Raw genomic sequence first — 26,338 nt, 5'->3', positions numbered from 1 at the left:
TCAGCCTGGGCAATAGAGGGAGACCCTGTCTCCAGAAAAAAAAAAAAAAAAGAAAGAAAAAAAGAAAAAAAAATAGAATTGAGGGTTGGGTAGTATAGAAGAAATTACTTAATTAGGGATAAGGAGACCTGGCTACTCATCCCCTGTGCCACCTTAGGTAGGTCACAATCCTTCTGGGCCCCAGTAAGCTCATCAGTACAATAAATAACACTGCTTGTTTGAAAGCAGGATATCAGTCTATAGGATTTCTTAAGGTCCAATTTGGTTTTAAGACTTACATTTTTATTAAAACAATCTCAAAAAACATTTGCCAATCTATGGGAAAAACCAATAATCATCCAAATACTTTCTTAGACAGAACACAGAAATCAATACAGTCTTACATTGTAAAGAAAAAGAGGACAGGGCTGACTAGGTGTAACTTTATAGAATCAACTGCAATCTGCCATTCTTTTATATCTTGATCTGAATTTCTTAACTTGTTCATTATTATTTTGGTAAATATTTTAAAATATGGATTCCTCACTTCCCTTCTTCCAAAGTGGCCAATCCGTACAACTCAGAACAAACATTCATATTTGCAGAAGACTCCCTCTCATTCCTCCTTTGGCCTGCTCATGACCTACAAACCCAAACCTCCAAGGACAGTTTTGATCAAGGTCATACAGAACTCCTAACTCAAGAAGAGGGCTGCTGCTGATCACACAGCTGCGCTTTGCTGCTTAACTGATCGAGTTCTTTAGGACTTCATCTGGATCTGTTCAGTTCTTACCCAACAGTTTTGTGTGTCTCCATAAGGATGGTTCCATTTGGTCCTGGGACAGGCATGGAATTGTAGCGAATGCTGACTTGTGACTTACGCAGCAGGCTCTCTCGGGCTATCTTGAGTCCTTCATAGAACATTGCTAGTAAAAACACTGCCACAAAAGCTCCAGCCATTTCTAAGTATGGAAGGAAAATATGGAGGTACTGTCAAACATGTGCAAAATCATTAGCCAATGTGCTGTCCAGCTAGAAAGACACATAGAAAAAATGCTACTCTCAGCTTTTGAAGACATTATATTTTTACCTCTTCTCTTGCTCAGATAGGAGAACGGCTAAGATGGTGTAACTGAAAACTATTGCCTCTGCCAAGAACATATTTACTTTCTGATTAAGATAAGAAAAATAATCAGAACAACAATAACCTTTTGGTCAGACTGCTTGATATCATTAAATTAGGTTTGTTACACTGAAACACACAATGTAGAATATGGAACAGGGAATAAAACAATTTAGTTTCATCAGTGGCTGACTACATTTCCTGAATAGGCATTTCAATTCTAAGTCTTTCACACTGTGAAGTGTTGGTAATGATATAAATGTATTCAAACTGCTAATTTAACACATTACCTGAACTAAATGCTCTCCTTCTTCCCAAAACAAATTGATTTTATGGCTCCAAACAGACATCTGGTACCTAAGGCAGTCCAACTGACTATTGAGTTTGCGCAAGTTAAATTTAAAGTATACCATACAACATAATAGACACAAACAGATGGGTAATCATCTACCTCAAAACTAGGAGTGTCTAAGATGGGCCGTGCCAAGAATCAGGAAGGATGTGGGCCATAGTTTGGTAGACTAAAAGAACACTGGTCTAGGTAGCTCTAGAAGGTCTGGGTCCTTGTCCTAGCTCTGACATATTAACTCTATGATTGATGGCGAGTCATTTCACAATTTGTGGCACTTAATTTATTGTAAAATTGAAGTATTAGAACAATAGTTTTAAACTTATTTTGTGGTACTTAATTTGAGTTAGTCTTATGTCCAGGACTAATAACTTATCAAATAAGTAAACACTCTGAGGCCGGGCATGGTGGCTCATGCCTGTAATCCCAGCACTTTGGGAGGCTGAGGTGGGTGGATCACTTGAGGTGAGGAGTTCGAGACCAGCCTGGCAAACATGGCAAAACCCCGTCTCTATTAAAAATACAAAAATTAGCCAGGCATGGCGGTAGGTGCCTGTTTAACTCCAGCTACTCAGGAGGCTGAGGCAGGAGAATCGCTTGAACCTGGGAGGCAGAGATTGCAGTGAGCCAAGATAGCTGCCATTGCACTCCAGCCTGGGTGACAAGAGTGAAACTCCGTCTCAAAAAAAAAAAAAAAAAAAAAAATTAAACACTCTGGAAAAGAATGAAAGAAAATGGATTGCAAAAGATTCTATCTGGTATCTAAATTATTTTTTAGAGCTCCAAAACATACATGTTAGTTAACAGAGGTTTACCAGAGGACCAAAAAAGTACTGTGTTTCCTACCTTCTAGGTAGGAAATAGGAACCAAGATGGTTATGCATCATTACCATGTTGACTTAGTAATTAGGACAGAAAGAGGTGCTGGACTTCCAAATTATTTGTCACTGTCTCTCATGTGACTATCACCTTCCAACACTACCTAATGGCTTACTCACCTCCAGCTGTATTGATCACCAAACCGGAAAACAGTAGTTCCACATTCTTAAAGCCAAAGTAGAAGGTCATAGGCTGCCAGAAAACCAAAACAAGTCAGTTAGAGATGAATGAAAATTCTAAATGAGAATTTGGGGCAAAGAAGCTTAGAACATTTAAAAGTAGAAGATCTGGATAATAAGAGACATTCACGTGAGTGGGAGGCTTTTGCCCTCATGTTAGCGTTACCACCACAGGCACCGAGCATGAGTATTCTACTAGGCCCCCACCATCAACTTTTCTCCTGGGCCCCCACCATCAACTTTTATCTTTTTTTTTTTTTTTTTTGATACGGATTCTCGCTCTGTAGCCCAGGCTGGAATGCAGTGGCGAGATCTCGGCTCACTACAACCTCCACCTCCTGGGTTCAAGCGATTCTCCTGCCTCAGCCTCCCAAGTAGCTGGGACTACAGGCGAATGCCATCATGCCCAGCTAATTTTTTGTATTTTTAGTAGAGATGGGGTTTCACCGTGTTAGCTAGGATGGTCTCGATCTCCTGACCTTGTGATCCACCTGCCTTGGCCTCCCAAAGTGTTGGGATTACAGGCATGAGCCACTGTGCCTGGCCAACTTTTGTCTTTTTCTCTTTTCCACCCAAGGCATAAAGACCAGAACCCCTAATTCAGAAAAGAGTCGATTTCAGAAGGGACCACCAAAGAAAGAAGCCTAAAATCTTGGTTCTGGTGTGACTCTGTAAGTAGCTTGCCACATAATCTGGAGCAAATGACTTGACTTGCTTGGGTCTGCTTTAGTTATCCTCACTGGTAAACTGACCTTTAAAGATAATAAGCTTCCAGTACTAAAATTCCATTATTTCTATTACCCAAGTGGGTGGGAAAGGGCCTGCATTGCCCCTCCTATGGCACTCACCATCATCATCATGCTGCTGTCTCCTCCACCATGGGAGTGTGAGGCTGAAGTGGTTGGGTGATGGTGAGAAGGTTGCATGGTACTGTTGGAGTCCATATAGCTCATCCCCATATGGTGGGAATGATCCATTTTTTCCAGGAAAAGTTGAGAGTCAGCAGAAGATTCTTTTAAGAGAAAGAATTATATATAATAATTTAAGGATATAAAAATCTTATCTCTTTTTTTTATTTTTAGAGATGGAATCTTGCTATGTTGCCCAGGCTGGAATGCAATGGCTATTCACAGGCATGATCCCACTACTGATCAGTACAGGAGTTTTGACCTGCTCCATTTCTGATCTAGGCTGGTTCACCAGGCAACCTGGTGGTTCCCTGCTCCTGGGCTTGTTTCTTGGTAAATACTTTGTCTATATGGAATGCATCTAATAAATGAATGCTCTCCTAGCATCTTTACTCAGAATTATTTTTCATAATCTACAGATGGAGAGAGAAAGAACTCGTGCTAATAGGGATCACTTTTGGAGACTGTAGCAGAAAGGGTTTACACGTAGGGCTACAGATGCCTAACCCTTCCTTATTCTGCAGAATTGTTCCTTTTTTTTTGAGACAGGGTCTTGCTCCATCACCCAGGCTGGAGTGCAACTCACCACAGCCTCAACCTCAGCCTCCTGAGTAGGTGGAATCACAGGCCTGCACCACTACCACGCTCAGCTAATTTTTTGTTTTATCGTACAGATGAGGTCTCGTGTTGCCCAGGCAGGTCTCGAACTCCTGAGCTCAAGCAATCCTCTTGCCTTGGCCTCCCAAAGTGTTGGGATTACAGGTGTAAGCCACTGTGCCCCACCAGTATAGTTCCTTTAATAGGTATGCTTAATATATGTTCAAACTTAAATATTAGATAAGGAGAAGGAAAGCAGCTTCTTTGGGTTGCAGGAAACAGGCAATCTGTAATAAGATACAAATGAATGCCATTAATGAAATTTAACTGCTTTAAGGCTTTCTAATCATAAATGTCAGCAGATAAAAAGCAAGGACTTCAGATAATTCACCTAATTGGGATGGCCTGTGCCTAATCAGGATATTTGGATTACATTTTCACATACAGGACAACCAGCCTTCAGCTAATTTAAATTTGAAGAAAGGTCTACTATGGCCCTAGGCACGCAGTGTGCTCAGACTTCAGATACAATTTCAATCCTACCAGGACATTAGAGTGAAGAACATGAAAAACAAGGTATAAATTGGATACTCTATATTAAATTAAGTCTAGACAACTGCAAATTCAGCCTTGTATCTTTACTACCACATCACTGTATTGCTGCAAAAGTCCATCTGGGACATAAACCAAGGAGCAATAATTCCTTTTATTTATTTATTTTTGAGACAGAGTTTTGCATGGTTGCCCAGGCTGGAGTGCAGTGGTGTGATCTCGGCTCACTGCAACCTCTGCCTCCTGGATTCAAGTGACTCTCATGCCTCAGCTTGCCGAGTAGCTGGGATTACAGGTGCATGCTACCACACCTGGCTAATTTTTAAATTTTTAGTAGAGATGGGGTTTCACCATGTTGGCCATGCTGGTCTCAAACTCCTGAGCTCAAGTGATCTGTCCAACTCGGCCTCCCAAAGTACTGGGATTATAGGCTTGAGCTACCGTGCCCGGCCCAGGAACAATAACTCCTATAGCTAGAGTTGGAGTGGGAGAATGGGAAGCTGGTGTGTGTGGAGGGGGAGGTGTTGGTGGATTCTCTTTATGTGTCCCTCAAGTCCAGTCTGTGGAAGAAAAAGTGGTTTTAAAAATTCCAAGTAGGTATTCATGTTCATGAAACCAAGTATGCTTTTCATTATTCATTCACTCAATATTTATCAAGCTCCTATTATATACCAAACTCTGAGCTAGGTGCTAATAATTCAACAATGAATAAGACAAGGTTCCTGATAGGGAGAGAAACAATAAATATAATTTCATGCTGTGAAGGAAATAAGCTGAGAAATAAGACACAATTACCAAGAGGTAAAGAATAAATTGGCCAGGCGCGGTGGCTCATGCCTGTTATCCCAGCACTTTGGGAGGCTGAGGCAGGCAGATCACTTGAGGCCAGGAGTTCGAGACCAGCCTGGCCAACATGATGAAACCCCATCTCTACTAAAACAAAAAAATTAGCCAGGTGTGGTGGCATGCACCTGTAATCCCAGTTACTCGGGTGGCTGAGGCATGAGAATCACTTGAACCTGGGAGGTGGAGGTTTCAGTGAGTCAAGGTTGGACTACCGCACTCCAGCCTAGGTGACAGGAGACTATCTCAAAAAAAAAAAAAAAAAAAGACTGTGGGTAGGAAATTTATATAGATTCAGGGAGCCATCTATTTATTTTCTCCTTGTTAACTCCTACCCCATAGTTCTATGACAGCTGGCTTAAGAAATAGGTTCTTATTTCTAGTGAAGGATAAGGCAAAGCATCAGGTAGGCATAATCAAAGATCCACTTTCATGCCAGACACTACATTATTTTATAATTATAGAGCTCAACAGTGAAACCCCGTCTTTACTAAAAATACAAAAATTAGCTGGGCTTGGTGGCACGCGCCTGTAATCCCAGCTACTCGGGAGGCTGAGGCAGAGAATTGCTCAAACCTGGGAGGCGGAGGTTGTGGTGAGCAGAGATCATGCCACTGCACTCCAGCCTGGTCAGCAGAGCAAGACTCCATTTCAAAAAAAAAAAAAAAAAAAATTACAGAGCTCGACAATCTGGTATTATTGATACCATTACCATAAAGAGATTACATCAGAGGTATAAAAAGATATAAAACAGAGTCTTTGTCTACAATGTTTTTAGAGTAAACACTAAAAAATACAATACACAATAAAATAAAGACCATGCTCAAAGTGTCAGTGATGGGGCAAATGGCAGGTGGGCAGCTGTTTTCAGATAAAGAGGTAATTATGGTAGGATGGAGAGATCACTGGCATCTGAGTGATCATAAATTATGATATTGAACCAAACAAATGCAATAAGAATGAAAAGACTTGGCCAGGCGCGGTGGCTCACGCTTGTAATCCGAGCACTTTGGGAGGCCGAGGCAGGCGGATCACGAGGTTAGGAGATCAAGACCATCCTGGCTAACATGGGTGAAACCCCGTCTCTACTAAAAACACAAAAAAATTAGCCGGGCATGGTGGCGGGTGCCTGTAGTCCCAGCTACTCTGGAGGCTGAGGTAGGAGAATGGCGTGAACCCGGGAGGCGGAGCTTGCAGTAAAGCGAGACCGCGCCACTGCACTCCAGCTTGGGCTACAGAGCAAGACTCCGTCTCAAAAAAAAAAAAAAAAAGAAAAAAAGAAAAGAAAAGACTTTCGCTAGCCAGGAAGACTACTGACACATCCTCATAAAGAGCTAGAGGCAGAAGACACAAATACTGTTCTCTTCCAATGAGAGTCTGAAAAATGATTATAGCATAAGAAAACCACAAAGGATTTACTTCATTCCATATTATCAATATGAATCCTGGTCAGGAGGAGGGAATGAATATTTGCAAGAGTGCCTTCTTAAGACCAAAGGAAATAAAGAAATGAACATCACATGGAGTCTTTCCTCAAGGAGCTTTAAGGCTAAAAGCTAGAAAGGGAAACTGAACAGTCATAATTTTCATTTTGAGATATAAGATAACATGTAGAGGACTGTTAAAAAAGCAAGACTAGGCTGGGTGCGGTGGCTCACCCTGTAATCCCAGCACTTTGGGAGGCCAAGGCGGGCAGATCACCTGAGGTCAGGAGTTCAAGACCAGCCTGACTAAAAACCCCGTCTCTACTGAAAATACAAAAAGTACCCGGACCTAGTGGCAGGCACCTGTAGTCCCAGCTACTTGGGAGGCTGAGGCAGGAGAATCGCTTGAACCCGGGAGGCGGAGGTTGCAGTGAGCCGAGATTGTGCCATTGCACTCCAGCCTGCGTGACAGACCGAGACTCCATCTCAAAAAAAAGCAGGACTATAGTACCACAAACTATCTAAAAGTTGTAACCTTGATGATTTCCTTGATGAACCTTTATAACATTAATTATTACCATGAACTAATTTTGAAGACCCACAGGTTCTTAATTATTCAGGTCCCTCATTATCAATTAGAGAAATCTACTCAATGATGCCACATTATCAAATCTCTTCAGACATATCAGTGACCCAGGGCAAGGTATATACAAATCCCAAGAAAACCTTTCAAAGTATGCACCTGTTTTGAAGTGTCATTTGTGCAGGATATATTTCACATCCAAATATACTAGGAGATAGAACAAGAGCAGAATCTACTTGCTCTCATTGTCAGTAGACAATGGATATATTGTAATGGAATCCTATGCAAGGCTTACCGAATGGTGTATGAATAGGAAGATACAAAGCCGGTGGAGATTAATATATAAACATACACTGTAGGCTCAAACACAAACCAATCCTGATAAGTCCTTACGCTCACTAAAAGCTTTATTTTAGGAAAAGATCCCACGGGAATATGCCAAAGCTAAATTACATCAAAAAAGTTAAAACTTACAAATTAATTATTAAAGCATAATAAATAAAAGTGATTATATTTTTTTCTCTTCCCACTTAAATTTTCAGTGATGTGCTGTATGTATTTGGATAAGTTATCTTCTAAAGCAATCGAACACACCTAACCCATTCTCTCTAGAATAGAAATTCAACTTACAGGAGGTAAACTAGCATTGGTTCTTTTTAGCCTGTTTCCTTTGGTAGCTTTAATCTGACTTAAGCTCAGCTTCTTCCAAAATAAAAATGGGTACTCATGTAACAATAAGTTAAAATCCAGGGTCATACAATCTTTGCTCTATTTTTATTTTTTATTTTTTATTTTTTTAGATAGAGTCTCACTCTGTCACCCAGGCTAGAGTGCAGTGGTGCCATCTTGGCTCACTGCAACATCCACCTCTCAGGTTCAAGCGATTCTCCAGCCTCAGCCTCCCTAGTAGCTGGGATTACAGGCATGTGCCACCATGCCCAGCTAATTTTTTATTTTTAGTGGAGATGAGGTTTCACCATGTTGGCAAGGCTGGTGTTGAACTCCTGACCTCAAATGATCTGCCCACCTTGGCCTCCCAAAGTGCTGGCATAACAGGCATGAACCACCATGCCAGGCCAAATTTACAAATTATTTGTAAAGAAGAATACTGTCTAAATCTGTTTTGTGTGGCTATAACAGAATACCTCAGGCTGGGTAATTTATAAAGAAAAGAGGTTTATTTGCCTCATGATTCTGGTGACTGGACAGTCCAAGAGCATGGTGCCAGCATCTTTGGGGCTTCTGGCAGAGAAGCAGAAAGGCAAGTGGGCATGTGCAAAGAGACACGGGCTCACTTTATAGCAACCCAATCTTGCAGGAACGAATCCATTCCTATGAGAGCAATAACTCACTCACTCCTGAGAGTGGACATTAATTTACTCATGAGGGTGGATCCCTAATGACCCAAATGCCTACCAGTTCTCACCACCATTACAAATACTAACCAAAAAAATCTGAATATATAACTCAGGGACAGAACTGAAATACAAACAATAAAAAAACCCTTAGGATTCCTTTTTTTTTTTTGAAGTTTTTTTTTTTTATACTTTAAGTTTTAGGGTACATGTGCACAATGTGCAGGTTAGTTACATATGTATACATGTGCCATGCTGGTGCACTGCACCCACTAACTTGTCATCTAGCATTAGGTATATCTCCCAGTGCTATCCCTCCCCCCTCCCCCAACCCCACAACAGTCCCCAGAGTGTGATGTTCCCCTTCCTGTGTCCATGTGTTCTCATTGTTCAATTCCCACCTATAAGTGAGAATATGCGGTGTTTGGTTTTTTGTTCTTGCGATAGTTTACTGAGAATGATGATTTCCAATTCCATCCATGTCCCTACAAAGGACATGAACTCATCATTTTTTATGGCTGCATAGTATTCCATGGTGTATATGTGCCACATTTTCTTAATCCAGTCTATCATTTTTGGACATTTGGGTTGGTTCCAAGTCTTTGCTATTGTGAATAATGCCGCAATAAACATATGTGTGCATGTGTCTTTATAGCAGCATGATTTATAGTCCTTTGGGTATATACCCAGTAATGGGATGGCTGGGTCAAATGGTATTTCTAGTTCTAGATCCCTGAGGAATCGCCACACTGACTTCCACAATGGTTGAACTAGTTTACAGTCCCACCAACAGTGTAAAAGTGTTCCTATTTCTCCACATCCTCTCCAGCACCTGTTATTTCCTGACTTTTTAATGATTGCCATTCTAACTGGTGTGAAATGGTATCTCACTGTGGTTTTGATTTGCATTTCTCTGATGGCCAGTGATGGTGAGCATTTTTTCATGTGTTTTTTGGCTGCATAAATGTCTTCTTTTGAGAAGTGTCTGTTCATGTCCTTTGCCCACTTTTTGATGGGGTTGTCTGTTTTTTTTCTTGTAAATTTGTTTGAGTTCATTGTAGATTCTGGATATTAGCCCTTTGTCAGATGAGTAGGTTGCGAAAATTTTCCTAACCTTTAATCTATGATAAAATCTACCTAAAATATTTTATTTACCAAGTTGAGCTTATAACTAGGGTAGAAAGATTAGAATTACTGTGGCCGGGTGTGGTGGCTCACGCCTGTAATCTCAGCACTTTGGGAGGCCAAGGTGGGTGGATCACCTGAGGTCAAGAGTTCGAGACCAGCCTAACCAACATAGTGAAACATCATCTCTACTAAAAATATAAAATTAGCTGGGCATGGTGGTGCGTGCCTGTAATCCCAACTACCTGGGAGGCTGAGGCAGGATAATTGCTTGAACCCGGGAGGTGGGGGTTGCAGTGAGGGAAGGTCCTGCCATTGCACTCCAGCCTGGGCAATGAGAGCAAAACTCCATCTCAAAAAAAATAAAAAAATAAAAAAAAAACAAAGAAAGATTAGAATTACTGTACTGCCCTTTCATTTACTTTTTTTTTTTTTTTTTTGCCAATTGAGGTATACTAGTTTTCTTTAACAGAATTCAAAATCGTTCAATACTGGAGAATCATCTTTGCAATACTGGAGAATCACCTTTGCATTAGAATAACGGAGTGACAGGACTTAACTACCTAACTGGAACACATCTGTAAAAAGAATTTGGAAGGTGAAGGTGAATTTTAAAAGAAAAAGAAGGTGATCTGATTGTATGTCCTGGGAAAGTTACTTAGCCTTTCTGGAGCTGGTTTCCAGCCTGTACAACTTGGAGGATTCTTGGGAGGATTATATGAGATAACATACATAAAGCATCTACCAAAGTACCTGATAAATGGCAGCTATTATCATTATGTGGAATATTAGGGGATAAAAGAACTTGAGTAGGGAAAATCCAATGAGTGAACTTTGTGGGAGAAGGCATTAATCAAAATATTAGCTGGGTTTCTCTCCTCACTTGACTTTATTAAGACAACCCTTGACTTGTCTGTTAGCTTCTCTCCTACAAAGTATTTGCGTCAAGACTACTTTCAAGCCTGCGCACAGTGGCTCATGCCTATAATCCCAGCACTTTGGGAGGCCAAGGTGGGAGGATCACTTGAGGTCAGGAGTTTGAGACCAGCCTGGCCAACATAGTGAAACCCCATCTCTACTAAAAAATTACAAAATTACAAAAATTAGCCGGGTGTGGTGGCGGGCACCTGTAATCCTAGCTACTTGGGAGGCTGAGGCAAGAGAATCACTTGAACCTGGGAGGCCATGTTGCAGTGAGCTGAGACTGCACCATTGCACTCCAGCCTGGGCAACAAGAGCAAAACTCTGTTTCAAAAAAAAAAAAAAAAAAAAAAAAGGACTGCTTTCAAGTATCTTTCTGCCTGTCCTGATTTCCTGAGACCATGAAGTGGCTATGAACACTCATGTGAATAGTTCATAAGAGCTCTTCCTTCTAGCACAGAAATCTTGGATTTTTGTTTGTTTGTTTGTTTGTTTTTTGAGACAGAGTCTCTGTCACCCAGGCTGGAGTGCAGTGGCACAATCTCAGCTCATTGCAACCTCCGCCTCCTGAGTTCAAGTGATTCTCCTGCCTAAGCCTCCCAAGTAGCCGGGACTACAGGTGCACACCACCACACCTGGCTAATTTTTTTGTTGTATTTTTAGCAGAAACGGGGTTTCGCCATGTTGGCCAGGCTGCTCTGGAACTCCTGACCTCAGGTGATCTGCCTGCCTCAGCCTCCCAAAATGCTGGGATTACAGGCGTGAGCCACCATGCCTGGCCATCTTCTTGGATCATTAAGGAAGATGAGAAATGGTCTAGGAATTGACTATTTTAAAAAATTAAGCAGGAGTTTATGTGGAATTTAGTTCACATAAAATAGTTAATAAAAGGAGTTTCTTTCTCAGGAAGGCTTTAAACTATTCAGTTTCTAGGGAACATTTATCTTCAGTTAGGTACCTGAAGTTGGCTATGTGCCAACTTGTTTCTATTGTTCTGAATGCTATTAAATATAGGAAACAGTAAATGCTATATTGACTGTTGAAGAGCTCAGCACTTCTGTTGCTTTCCCCTCTCCCCCATTTAATAAGTATGGTATGATATTTTTCCAAACAGCTTTCAAAACCTCCTTATAGTCAAGAGTGTTTCACAGTCAACCTCTGAAGATTATCAAAAAAGTTTTCCCTGTACCTGCCCCATCACCTGCAAGACAGACACAGTCTGTAAAATCTAATATGTTTAACAAAAATACATATGAATTTATGGTCAGAAGTTAGGGAATTAGCAAGACGGCTAAATTCTGATGCCTATTCTGAGTCTTAGCATTGAGTATTGGCCTTATTTCTATGGTACAATAAGAATAAGATATAATAATCCATAGGGACTATGGAGATTAGATTGCACAAAAAGACTACACAGAAGTAGTCATACATCTGCACATGGGCTCTTTTCTCTAGCTCAGACAGATATAATCTGGAGCCCGGGACAGTTCTTTTGGAGCCTGCCTGTCTTTCCTGGCTTCCATGATAAGGAAGAAAGTCTTTTTTCTTAAAACGATTAGGGTCATATTCCTTTTTAGATTTGTGAAAACATTAAACAAAGAGAAATCTATCTAGTTTCTCTTCTGCTTTCTGTAGTCATTACTTATAATTGGTAACTGTAAGTTTCTGGCAAGCACTTATACAGAAAATTCAAGGTCAAAGACAGTACACTACCATAAACAGGGATGCGTGCTTATGGACTATGTCCACATGATCAAGCAACCAGTTTAACTGGGCGAATCTTGCCTTTTGACGACCTGTATGGGGTTAGTAGATACTCTCAGAAATGGCTCTGGCTTTGTTTTGATTGCCCCTATAGGTGAATTTTAAAATTATCTTGGTCGGGTGCGGTGGCTCACGCCTGTAATCTCAGCACTTAGGGAGGCCGAGGCAGGTGAATCACTTGAGGCTAGGAGTTTGAGACCAGCCTGGCCAACATGGCAAAACCCCATCTCTACTAAAAATTAGCTGGATGTGGTGGTGTGTCTGTAGTTCCAGCTACTTGGGAGGCTGAGGCACGATAATGTGGAGGTTGCAGTGAGCTGAGATAGTGCCACTGCACTCCAGCCTGGGATATAGAGCAAGATTCTTTCTCAATAAATAAAATAAAATAAAAATAAAAATTATCGGCCGCGTGCAGTGGCTCACGCCTATAATCCCAGCACTTTGGGAGGCCAAGGCAGGCAGATCACGAGGTCAGAAGATCAAGACCATCCTGGCTAGCATGGTGAAACCTTGTCTCTACTAAAAATACAAAAAATTAGCCGGGCGTGGTGGCACGCGCCTATAGTCCCAGCTACTCAGGAGGCTGAGGCAGGAAAATCGCTTGAATCCGGGAGGCGGAGGTTGCAGTGAGCTGAGATTGTGCCACTGCACTCCAGCCTGGGTGACAGAGCGAGACTCCATCTCAAAAAAAGAAAAAAAAAATCTTAATGGCCGGGCATGGTGGCTCACACATGTAATCCCAGCACTTTGGGAAGCTGAGGCAGGCAGATCGCTTGAACCCAGGAGTTTGATACCAGGCTGGGCAACATGGTGAAACCTCGTCTGTACTAAAAATATAAAAATTTGCTGGGCATGCTGGTGTGCACCTGTGGTCCCAGCTTGAGAGGGTGTGGGAGGATCGCTTGTGCCTGGGAAGTCATGGCTGCAGTGAGTGGTGATTGCACCACTGCACTCCAGCGTGGGTGACAGGGTGAGGCCCTGTCTCAAAAAATAAAAACAACAATTATCTTGATGATGGCTCAATAAATCCCACACACCTTTTGGGGAGGAGTGGTGGCAAAGGAGATGTAGGAAAACAAAGGGGAGACCTTGATATAATACTGCAATAAACAGAACTTAGAGCTGGGTACAGTGGCTCACACCTGTAATCCTAACCCTTTGGGAGGCCGAGGCAGGCAGATCGCTTAAGCCCAGGAGTTTCAGACCCGCCTGGGCAACATGAGGAAACCCCATCTCTACTAAAAATACAAAAAAGTTAGCCAGGTGTGGTGATGTGTGCCCGTAGTCTCAACTACTTGAGAGGCTCAGGTGGGAGAATCGACCTGATCTTGGGAGGTCATGGCTGCAGTGAGCCATGATTGTGCCATGCACTCCAGCCTGGGCAACAGGAATGTCTTGTCTTAAAAAAAAAAAAACTTAGTGGCATTCTAGGCCAAAATAGTGCAGTTGCTTGGAAAAAACGTAGTAGCTCCCAGTAAGTGGGAGGGGAAATACAATTTGATAAATATTTAGGGAGAAGACTTCCCTTTGAAGGCTGTAATGTTTCCTACTCATTCCCCGGGTGCTGGCTTCATATTCCTATTCCAAATTAACTGACAGAGGCCGGGTGCGATGGCTCACAAAGTGAGCTGTAATCCCATTACATTATAAAGTGTATAAAATGCAATCCCATTTTACATTACAAAGTGCTGTAATCCCAGCACTTTGGGAGGCTGAGGTGGGTAGATCACTTGAGGTCAGGAGTTTGAGAACTGCCTGGCCAACATGGTGAAACCTTGTCTCTACTAAGAAAAACAAAAAACAAAACAACAACAACAAACAAAACAAAACCCAAATTAACCAACAGAAATGTGACCATAATTGGATGAATATAACCATATAATCCTTTTGATATTCTAGCTGCCTTTCCCTTGCCTATGTCTTTCTTGAGGTACAGTGATCGTAGGTATACTTAATTTGATCAATTCCTCTTATAAAGGGTAGCCTTGATTAAACTATGGGTCTCGGCCAGAACTGGCAAAAACTTAAAGACTCCTAAAGTTGTGCCATACCAATGTATTAAAAATGGTAAGTAAAACGATGAGTGGAGGTACTAAGAAAATAGGTCAGGTCAACAAGAAAAAAAAGAAATGTAAAATACCTTACAATTATATACATTCAAACACATATTGTTCTCCCCAGATTAAGTCTGTCAAGTGACAGCAGTCCACACGGCACTTGCTACAACTGTAGTCTTACAAGGATAGTCTGCACTCAGGAAAGTAGTTATCCCAAACCCACCATTATAATTACCTCACACGCCCACATACAAATCTTAGATTTTATCTTTTTAAAACTTCTCCAATAAAACCTGGCTACTGTTTTGCCTTTTGCCTTTGTTGATAATAACTCCAAGGGATCATCTATAATAAATTCTTACTTGCTTTTCTTCATAGCAATGTTGGGGCTGAGAAGGATATTAATAGAATTGGCCAAGAATTAATTTAGTGATTATCTGCAGATTTCAATAATCCTTATATTATTCTCTCTCTCACTCTTGTTTTTTTCTGACCCTGACAGATGGAGATATTTTCTCTTTCTTCACCATATACCTTCCCTGAAGCACTTTTCATGTAAAAAAGCCAAACTATGCCATACTCAAGTAATAGCAGAATTTATGTGGATGAATTACTCATACATCAGACTAATAAGCTGCATAAAAAGTAACCAACTGTCAGAGACATAAAGGAGAAAACTACTTCAAATAATTACACTTAAAACTTTTAAGTGCCTTCATTTATGAGTGGCCAATGATCTAGGCAAACAAGAAATGCTGCATGGACTGACAAGTTTTTAAAAGAATAAAACAGAAGCTATGAAGTAGTAGGAATAGCCTTTTTTTTTTTTTTTTTTTTTTTTGAGATGGAGTTTTGCTCTTGTCACCCAGGCTGGAGTACAGTGGTATGATCTCGGCTCACTGAAAGCTCCGCCTCCTGGGTTCAAGCGATTCTCCTGCCTCAGCCTCTCGAGTAGCTGGGATTACAGGTGCCCACCACCACGCCTGGCTAATTTTTTGTATTTTTAGTAGAGACGAGGTTTCACCATGTTGGCCAGGCTGGTCTCAAACTCCTGACCTCAGGTGATCTGCCTGCCTTGGCCTCCCAAAGTGCTGGGATTACAGGCGTGAGCCACTGCGCTTGGCCAGTAGGAATAGCTTCTTTACTCATAAACTCTTGGCTAAAAATATCTATTTTAGCAAAAAGGGACGATAACTCAGGAGCTGCCCTGAGAATCTTACTTTAACTGTACTTATGGAAAGATAAAAAACAAAAACAAAAAACCTGTGATTTAATTCTAATCAGAACAAGACAGGAAAAAGCTGGGGGCAGTGGTGCATGCCTGCAGTCCCAACTACTCAGAGGATCACTGGAGCCTGGGAGTTTGAATCTAGCCTGGGCAACATAGTGAGACCCACACCCACCCCCGCCCCACATCTCTTAAAAAGAAGGAATAAGACAAAGAAACACTTTATCTCCAGATATCGGTTGAAGGTCATCCCCTTCTATCATAAGTTTCATCTTTCTACATCACTCCAGCTTATCAAGCTGTTCAAACTCAGCAAAGGAGATGAGAAACCTGTTGAGGCAAGACAAATCCTGGAAAAAGTGATAACGTGATGAATTATACAGCCATTGAAGGCTATTATTTGCAAGAGAAAACATGCTAAAGTCAAACTCAATTTTTAAAATGCCCATTGTCCAATCCCTAGGTCACCTATGTCTTCTGAGTAAACATGAATGGACCATGTAATTACTACATAAACAACAAAATATAAAGGCAAAGAATTAGTTTAAATGTGAGAGAGGACACAGGTGACATATACTACATTGGGTAAGTTATTTTATATTTTAGAGCTTCATTTTCCTTAACTGTAAGAATACTGAATTACATAATCCATAAAGTTCCACCTAGAGCTAAAACTTAAACAAAAAAAAAAAAGCCTAGAGTATAAAAACACAAAGCCCTTGGGAGGCTTAGAAGCCTAGCGTATAAAACACAAAGCTCTTGGGAGATCTGAACATTTACATTTTCTCGCCAAATTTACCTTCATATACTTTTGGAAAATATGTGTTTTGTGAAAAATATGAGAGAGACTGTAAACAAAACTCATACCTGTTTCTAAGAGTAGAAGAAGGGAAGAGATTATACTGGCTGCTATTGACCTTTAAGTGGTCTGAAATGCTAAACCAAAACTTTTTATGTGAATTAAGTCTCTAAGGCATGAAGCCTTGACAAGTGTCACATAAAATGACATCGGGGAAATGGAACAAACTATAAGATAAGATCAACTTAAAAATGATTTTAGGCTGGGCATGGTGGCTCATGCCTGTAATGTAATCCCAGTGCTTTGGGAGGCTGAGGTGGGAGGATTACATGAGCCCAGGAGTTTGAGACCAGCCTGGGAAATACAGTGAGACCCCATCTCTACAAAAAAGCAAAAAATTAGCTGGGTGTGGTGTCATGTACTTGTAGTGTCAGCTACTGAGGGAGGCCCTGAAGTGGGAGGATTGCTTTAAGCCTGGGAAGTCAAAGCTGCAGTGTGCCATGATCATACCACTGTACTCCAGCCTGGGCAAGAGTAAGACTCTGTCTCAAAACAAAACAAAACAAAAAGAACCCAACCTACCTCTTCTGCCTGTATGTACTTTGTATTCCAGCCAAACAAGTCCAATGGCCAAAAGTTTCTAGCACTCCTAGGAAACACATCCCCCACTTTTCTGTCTGGTATCTTTGCCTACATTGTTTCTTAAGTCTGAAATGCCCATCCTTACAATCTCTAGTGCAACAAATCCATGCCATACTCCAACGTCTAGTTTTTTTTTTTTGAGACGGAGTCTCGCTGTGTCACCCAGACTGGAGTGCGGTGGCGTGATCTCAGCTCACCGCAAGCTCCGCCTCCCGGGTTCACACCATTCTCCTGCCTCAGCCTCCCAAGTAGCTGGGACTACAGGCGCCCGCTACCATGCCTGGCTAATTGTTTGTATTTTTAGTAGAGATGGGGTTTCACCATGTTAGCCAGGATGGTCTCGATCTCCTGACCTCGTGATCCTCTAGTTTTAAGAGCTCTGAAGAGCCATAGTATATTGTGCCTTTCCTAATAATTCTAACTGGAACTAGGTCTCACAAAATACTCGAAAATGTTTTTATGATATTTTGAATCAGTGCCCATATATCACACTGATAGAATGGTATTGAGAAATGGTAGGAGAAACAGTTGAATCAAAGTATTCTAAAATTCCTTCTCATCTTTATCAACTGCAGATGCTTAATGAGCCCCTCTTGGATGCTACTCTTTCTTGAGTCAGCCAAGGAGAGAAGTCTGGCTCCAAACAATTCGGTCTGCAAAGAGATGGATGAGCCATTTCTTCAGCTATATGTAGATCACCTGAAATTGAAACCTGAGTGTTCTGTCTCTTAATTTGCGGGTCACAGAATCCCACTAAGAATTGGAAGGACCTTAGCAGTCATTGCATGGTGCTCCTCAGTAATACACAAATTCTATAATAACTGTTCAAATACCTCTGGGGACTTGTCAGGCAAGTGTGTTGCTCCCTTCCAGAAATATAAGGAAGCAAAGTTCTCTTTCTAGTCAAGCCAAATACAGAAGATGCCCCATTGGAATCTGAATCTTGCTATTTGACAGTGATGATGCTGATGAACCGGTACTCCAAGCTAAACCAGTATTTGTACTGCAGATACTACTTGCATGTATTTCTCAAGCTATAATTTGCTTCTTAGGCTGCACTCCGAAAAACTAATTTCTGCCTGCAAAAAGAAACCTAAGTATCTTCACCCCCAACTTCTGATATTGATACACTGATTTTTAAGCTCACTATGTGGCATTTAAGTCTGTTACAGACTTATCTTTCCAGCCTTATCTCAATCTACTCCGCTTCACATTCATATGTTCCACTGAAACTGACCTACTCACTTTTCCTCAATAATTTTTTTTTTTTTTTTTTTTGAGACAGAGTCTCGCTCTGTCGCCCTGACTGGAGTACAGTGGCACGATCTCGGCTCACTGCAACTTCCACCTCCTGGGTTCAAGCGATTCTCCTGCCTCAGCCTCCAGAGTAGCTGGGATTACAGCCAAGCGCCACCACACCCAGCTAATTTTTGTATTTTTAGTAGAGATGGGGTTTCACCATGTTGGCCAGGCTGGTCTCAAACTCCTGACCTCAAGTGATTTGCCTGCCTCGGCCTCCCAAAGTGCTAGGATTACAGGTGTGAGCCACCGTGCCTGGCCCCTCAATAAAATTCAGCATTTTGACATTTGTATGCGTTTTCAGGCTTTTGTAATTCCCTGGAATTCCTTTTATTTTTTCCCCTCATTTTCTATATATGTACAAATCCTGCCATTATTTATTCAACATTTATCATGCACAAAAATGTGCCAGAATTAAGGATAAAGCTAAAACATGGACCTTGATCTTTTTGATTTATAATCTAACTCATTCCAGGAGGTTTTTCTTGAATTCCTAAGAAATCTCCCTTTTTTGAATTTCCCTAGCAATCTTCTCTTACAGAAATTGACTTATAGTTTTTAAAATACAAGATAAAAAATGCCATATATACACAGCAAGCTTCTTGAGCGCAAGAAACTTTCTAATTTTTACTTCCTTACAGCATCTGGAAGAATACTTACCAAATATTCATTCATTCAAAAAGTATTTATTAATTCTTACAAAATCCATGTAGGTTTCAATATCTACCTATAAGGAGTCTGATGCAAAAAGACAAGGTACTTGCCTTTGTGGGGCTACTCAAGAGGAAGAAGGCTCTCTCAGTAAAAATGTAAGCAAATAAATATATATAGGTAGGTATAATTATCATTTGTGTAAGTGGTATGAAGGAGGTACAAAAATGAACTGTGGCAGAGAATAACGGTGAAAGAACTAATTTAGATGGAGGACAGGTGGGAAGCGAAAGAGAGGAGCTTTCTTAAAGGAGCTGACTTTAAACAGACTGATAAATTAATTATTGGAGTTTAGTAGAAGGAAAGGTAAGAGCCTTCCTGAGTCGAGAGAAGAAATAAGGGATCAAGGTTAGTATGAACAGAACATACTGAGTGAGCGGAGGAGAGGCTAATGAGGTTGAAGAGGGAAGCATAAAGGATACTCAATTAAGAATGTCTAGGCATGGTGGCTCACGCCTGTAATCCCAACACTTTGGGAGGCCAAGAAGGGTGAATCACTTGAGGTCAGGAGTTCAAGACCAGACTGGCCAACGGGGTGAAACCCCATCTCTACTAAAAATACAAAAGTTAGCTGGGCGTGGTGGCGCATGCCTGTACTCCCAGCTACTCGGGAGGCTGAGGCAGAAGAATCACTTGAACCCAGGAGGCAGAGGTTGCAGTGAGGCCAAGATCACACCACTGCACCGCAGCCTGGGTGACAGAGCGAGACTGTGTCTCAAAAAAAAAATCTTAAAGGTCATTTTAAGGATTCTAAATTTTATTTCCAGGGCAATTGGAAGCTATTTAAAGGTAATATGCAGGCACTCATGTTTCCTGCTTAAGTTCTTCTTTGAGGCAGATTTACAGAAGGAAAAAAATCTTTATAGATTAAATCCTTATGGCTACAGCTGTTTAATTTTCCAGGATCCAGAATGGCATCTGTTAAAACTTTAGGAAGATGAGAAGAATCATCTAATTTCTGGGCATAAAATGGTTTGAGGGGCACAACTTAAGACTATTCTACAAGAATTAGTAAGAAGAATTTATTCCTGGATTTTAAGAGCTTCTAAAAGTCACATGCCACCCTTTGCAGGTGACATTTGATCTTACAGACTATTGTTAAGAGTCTAGGTCTAGGGGTAGGAGTTAAAAAAAAAAAAGTCTGGAGTCAGAAGGTATTCAAATCCCGGCTCTACTAATTTCTAGCTGAGTCTCCTGGTGACATTTCCTGTAAAAGTCCCATGGGTTTTTAGTTTGGCAACAGGTCCTACGCATAGAGATTGCTACAGGGATCGTGTCCAGATTTCAACAGCATTTTGGTCAAATGATTCAAATTTGGTACTTGCTCAATAAAAAATCAATAAATACGATGAAGGTGAACTAGCCTCTGGGAGGGACATGGGCAGCAGACTGTGAGACACACAGCAAGTGTTTAATAGACTACATAATCTATACTATACACCTTCAACAGTGATCTAAACAAACTCGACTTGTCACTCATACCTCATCAAAACATTAGTGATTAATCTAAGACTTGTGAACTCCAGATTTTATTTACTTATTTTTTAATTTAAAAAGGATTCTGAGGCAGAGTCACAGTCTGTCGCCCAGGCTTGAGTGCAGTGTCACGATCTCTGCAACCTCTGCCTCCCAGGTTCAAGCAATTCCTGTGCCTCAGCCTTCCAAGTAGGCGGGATTACAGGCGTGTGCCACCATACCCGGCTACTTTTTGTATTTTTAGTAGAAACAGGGTTTCATCATGTTGGCCAGGCTGGTCTTGAGCTCCTGACCTCAGGTGATCCACCTGCCTCGGCCCCTCAAAGTGCTGGGATTTAAGGTGTGAACCACCGCACCCAGCCTTAAAATCCAGATTTTAATGCCCTGCTTTAGACATAGTGAAAACACACTAGAGTGAGTCAAAGATGTGGATTCTGGTTCCGACTCTATCACTTTGAGTTCTTTTGGGGAAACACCTATCTCAGGGTTTCAACCTCAGTATTAACAACATTTTGGACTGGATAATTCTTTGTTGTCTGAGCTGTCTTGTGTATCACTGGATGTTTAACAGTATCCCTGACCTCTACCGACTCAATGCCAGTAGCATTGCCCCAGTTGTGACAACCAAAAATGTCTCCAGACATTTCTCAATTTGTCCTACCCCCTTGAGAAGCATTTTCATACTCTGAATTTCAATGTCTCATCTGAAACTCATGGAAACATGGAGATAACATCTATTTTGTCCTCCTTCAGGGTTACTATATGATTCAAATAAGATAATGAATGGGGAAAAAGAGGGGAGAAAAGACCATATATGTAAAAGCCTTATTATTACTCTGTGGTAATATTATCATTATGCTCTGTGAGAGCTCAGCAATGAGGTTAATGCATTCATATCTTGTTTACAGAATTCACTATAAGGCTTAGGTAAAGGCTATATGCAGTCTAATATACCCTTTAGGTGGCTATTCAATAAATACTTGTTGATTGATTGATTCTAAGTCTGGGTCCAACAGTAAGTTCATTTACTTTTGCTTTCATGCACGCTTTTTCTGAGAATTGCTGAGCCACAACATTGTAGTATGTTTCCAAACTTAACTCCACTTAAAAGAATAGGCCTAGATTAAACAAGAATAGTTATTCATTTTTCAGATGGAAAACTGAGGTATAAAGGTTAAAAGGCTAGCCAAGGTCACAGGGCAGTTAGTCTAGTGGTCATCATTAGAAGCCTGATTCTGACCTCAAGCCCAGTGTTCTTTTCATTATTCGTAGCATGGTCCTTCTATCCAACTATCTCCTGTCTTTATGTTCCTAGTCTCTCAACATCAAGTAAGCTTTTTTTGCGTTCTAAGGGCAACTCAGAAAAACGGAGGCAAGGAAACAGCTGTAGTTTTGAGAGAGGCTTGGAAAAAAAAAACGTAGACCTATTCCTGTTGAGGCACAATTGGATATTCTCTACATTCCGGGTAAACCAATGTCAAGCTATCCTAGTGCTCTGACAAGTCTATGAAATCCTTGCCCATTAAGTTGTCCAGGAGGAGCTAAATCTAATCGTTACCCCCCTCCAGAGCAGTTGTGTCCTGCAATGCTTTATGCCATGCTTCTGGCATACAGTATGCGCTACAACTGTTATCTGCAGTACTCTTGGCTGCTCTACCTCTAAGTGGCTCTAAGTGGGGTGAAAATGGACTTCCATACAGCCCCAAGCTCTAGGCTACATTTTGGCATTCTGTGAATAATGCATAAAAGCCCCAAATGCCTTTCTACTATTTGTATTTTCAGGGTCAGAAACAGAAATTTTGAGAATAATTCATAAAAATGTCACCATTTATTCTACTCCTTTAAAATATCAGATCATCTCTGATTATCATGGCTTTGTGTGAACTTTCATATGCTGAATGTTGTCACAGTGCTGTCACTCTCAAACACTGACTCAACAGTGTTCTGGATAATTCCCAGGCAAGGGGAATTGGTGGGCTGAAGCCCACCTTAATCTTTATAATGATTACAATTTGAAAAATGTAAGACTAGAAATTTTTGTTCTAGCCCTGGTTTTCTATTACATTAGGTAATTTAGCCTTTCTGGTCATAGCTTCCTGAGTCAAGGAACAGACTAATTCATCTTTAGAGCCTATTTCGGTCTGAAAAGTTTAGGTACATATAAGAATAGTTTCAGTGAGGGCCGGGTGTGGTGGCTCATGCCTGTAATCCCAGCACTTTGGGAGGCCAAGGTGGGCGGATCACGAGGTCAGGAGATTGAAACCATCCTGGCTAACACGGTGAAACCCTGTCTCTACTAAAAATACAAAAATTAGCCGGGCGTGGTGGCAGGCACCTGTAGTCCCAGCTACTCGGGAGGTTGAGGCAGGAGAATGGCGTGAACCCGGGAGGTGGAGCTTGCAGTGAGCCGAGATCGCACCACTGCACTCCAACCTGGGCGACAGAGTGAGACTCCATCTCAAAAAAACAAACAAACAAAAAACAACAAAAAAAGAATAGTTTCAGTGAGAAACAAATGCACACTTGACTTGTCGAAATGCACTCTGAATAATAGGGCTGGGCGCAGTGGCTCACACCTGTAATCCCAGCACTTTGGGAGGCCAAGACGGGCAGATCACTTGAGGCCAGGAGTCTGAGACCAGCCTGGCCAACATGGCAAAACGCTGTCTCTACTAAAAATACAAAAACTAGCCAGGTTTGGTGGCGTGCACCTGTAATTCCAGCAACTCAGGAAGCTGAGGCACGAGAATTGCTTGAACTTGGGAGGCAGAGGTTGCAGTGAGCCGAGATTGCGCCACTGCACGCTAGCCTGGGCGACACAGCAAGACTGTCTCAAAACAAAACAAAACAAAAAAATGAAACGCATTCTGAATAATGATTGATATACTTTAGCCATTCTAACATTTCAGTGGCTTTAACATTGATTAAACACATTCCAGAACATACTGTTCATATTACTTTCCAGAACCAATCTTAAACAATCATCTGCTCTGAGAGGCACCTTGCCAAAGCAGAAACAGCAAGGGCAAGAGCCCACTCTGTTCTCAGAGTCAGGCTGCTCACTGTTGCAGGGCATTGCCGTCTTTTTTCCCCCATAAAGTAAGTATATTTTATTTAATTGTTACCCAGAACAGTAACTATTGCCAGTACTCCAGGAGCTCCCCTCCTGCCTCTCCCAGTCATGCTTCCTCCTCCTCTCCGGGGGGATCTTCTCTCCTGACTTCTAAAATCATACACAGTCTTCTGTGATTTTGAAATTTATATAAATGGAAGCAGAAAGAATGTACTATTGTGTCTGGGTCCTTTGCTCAACATAATTTTTGGGAGGTTCATCCATATTGTGTGTAGCAGCAGTTTGTTATTTTTCATTGCTCTATAGTTTCCTTTGAATCAATATGCAACTTAACTTTTCATTTCTGCTCTTGGCATCTAAACTGTTTTCAGGGTTTTTAATAACACTGCTGTGAACATTTGCAAATACTTTCCCTCCCCAAGATTGGTCACATTCTTCTCAGCACTTATTAGAGTCAGTCTACTTAATTTTAGCCATTCTGGTGGGTATAAATTGAACTTTAATTTGCATCTTCCTAATGACTATTGAAGTGGAAACTTTTTCATACATGTATTGGCTTTTGGATATCCTTTCTTTTGTTAACTATTTGTTCAAGTTTGTGGCTTATTTTTCTGTGAGGTCTTTTTCTTACTGATTTGCAAAGGTTCTTTACATATTCTGGATGAGTCTTCTATCATCACACACATTGCAAATATCTTCTCCCAGTCTGTGGCTTCCCTTTTCATTTCTTTTATTGTGTCTTTAGATGAACGAACAGAAGTTTTTACTGTTAATGTAGTCTATTTATCATGCTTTATTTGTTATCCTAAGGGGCACTGCCATCCTTAAAACTCGTAACAAGTTACAAAAACTTTGTAAGGATAATAAGTACACGTAAAACTGGGATAAAAATCTCACAACAGTATGAATATCAAATGTAAAAATACATATTGAAGAGACTGCCATGTTAATAACATATATAGTAAACAATAAATGTTAATTACTTTCCTAACTCAAGTGCTTCTCAAAGTGTGGTCCAAGGACCACCTGGATCAGAATCATCAGGGAAGTTTGGGTAAAAATAAAAATTATGGACCCTATGCCACACCACTGAATCACCTCTTAGGGAGTAGGGCCTCAAAATTTAGGTGCTTATCAAGTTCCATGGACAATTCTTATGCATGCTAAAGCTTGAGAACCACAGTTCTGAATTACAGAGATGTACAACATAGATACTTAGTACACAGAATCTAAGAACTGGATGTTCAACAAGTGAGAGCTAAAAAAAAAAAAAAAAAAAAAAAAAAAATGATGGCCAGGAGCGGTGGTTCATGCCTGTAATCCCAGCACTTTGGGAGGCTGAGGTGGGTGGATCACTTGAGGTCAGGAGTTTGAGACCAGCCTGGCCAACATGGTGAAACCCCATCTCTACTAAAAATACAAAAATTAGCTGGACGTAGCGGTAGGTGCCTATAATCCCAGCTACTCAGGAACCCGGGAGGCAGAGGTTGCAGTGAGCCAAGATCACGCCACTGTACTCCAGCCTGGGTGACAGAGCAAGACTCAGTCTCAAAAAATAAAAAAAAAAAGTCAAACAAAAAGACAAATATTGCATGTTCTCAGTCATAAGTGGGAGCCAAAAAAGTTGATCCTACGGAGGTAGAGAGTAGAACAGTCACCAGAGGCTGGGAAGGGTGTATATGTGTGTACTCAAGGTGGGGTGAGGGTGGGATTGAAGACAGATGGGTTAACAGAACAAATAGATGCTTAGATAGAAGGAGTAAGTTCTAGTGTTTGACAGCACAGAAGGGTGACTATAGTCAACAACAATACACTGTATATTTCAAAATAATTAGAAGATTTGAAATGTTCCCAATACAAAGAAATGATAAATGCTGAAGGTGATGGATATCCTAAATACCCTGATTTGATCATTATACATTGTGCAATTATTAATTATTGTGCCCATAAATATGTGCAATTATTATGTATCAGTAATAAAGAAAAGAAAGCCAAGATTCAACCAGGAACTAAAATAATGCATTTGTTTATTTTGAAATTCCAAAAAGGTCACAGAGTTAGCCCAGTCTCACATAAAATTTGCACAGACCACCACCTAATAATCAAAGAACTTGGGGGTTAACACTGAATTTAATACCAAATCACTCGTCTTTGGGATTTGAGAGAGGTTTTCTAACGCACTGTGTAAGTAAAATCTCTAAATCCCAGAGGGAGGGGAAATTAAATATTTTTGTAGTTTTATTTTTGTAGACTAGTTGTGAAATACAGGGATTGAACTACCAGAAAGACAGACCTCAAACAGGAAGTACACCGTTTTGCTGAGACTTTTACATTTGTTCCCAGCTGACCTCTCCAGGGTTTGTCAACTGTCTTTCTGAGATTGGGATTCGATCTGAGATCCTGAATAGCCCACCAAAAACAAAAAAACACAAGGAGGAAGCTGTGGGTAGAAAAGATATTTCCCCTTTCTTT

General features: G+C 41.0%; 1 protein-coding gene and 1 long non-coding RNA gene across 3 annotated transcripts in view; one reads left to right on the top strand and one right to left on the bottom strand.

The window, feature by feature from the left end:
* SLC31A1 (solute carrier family 31 member 1) overlaps positions 1-26,338 on the bottom strand; it is a 42,949-nt gene that overhangs the window by 4,858 nt on the left and 11,753 nt on the right. The window contains exons 2-4 of the mRNA NM_001859.4: positions 3,358-3,521; positions 2,450-2,522; positions 773-941 (exon numbers count right to left, since the gene is read on the bottom strand). Of these exons, the coding sequence (NP_001850.1) occupies positions 773-941; positions 2,450-2,522; positions 3,358-3,486 (371 nt within the window). The 5' untranslated portion in view covers positions 3,487-3,521. The remainder of the gene's footprint in view (positions 1-772; positions 942-2,449; positions 2,523-3,357; positions 3,522-26,338) is intronic.
* Positions 3,032-24,857, top strand: LOC107987119 (uncharacterized). Of its 2 annotated transcripts, XR_007061737.1 has the most exons (3): positions 3,032-3,180; positions 16,330-16,451; positions 17,883-24,857. It is a non-coding gene; the product is annotated as an uncharacterized LOC107987119 (long non-coding RNA). The 2 variants fall into 2 exon arrangements; XR_007061736.1 differs by lacking the exon at positions 3,032-3,180 and having other exon boundaries at positions 16,056-16,451.

The sequence above is a fragment of the Homo sapiens genome, chromosome 9 (genome assembly GCF_000001405.40).
Source record: "Homo sapiens chromosome 9, GRCh38.p14 Primary Assembly".
Taxonomy (NCBI): domain Eukaryota; kingdom Metazoa; phylum Chordata; class Mammalia; order Primates; family Hominidae; genus Homo; species Homo sapiens.
The sequence above is the reverse complement of the archived record's forward strand: the minus strand, read 5'-3'. Positions and strand labels throughout refer to the sequence as shown.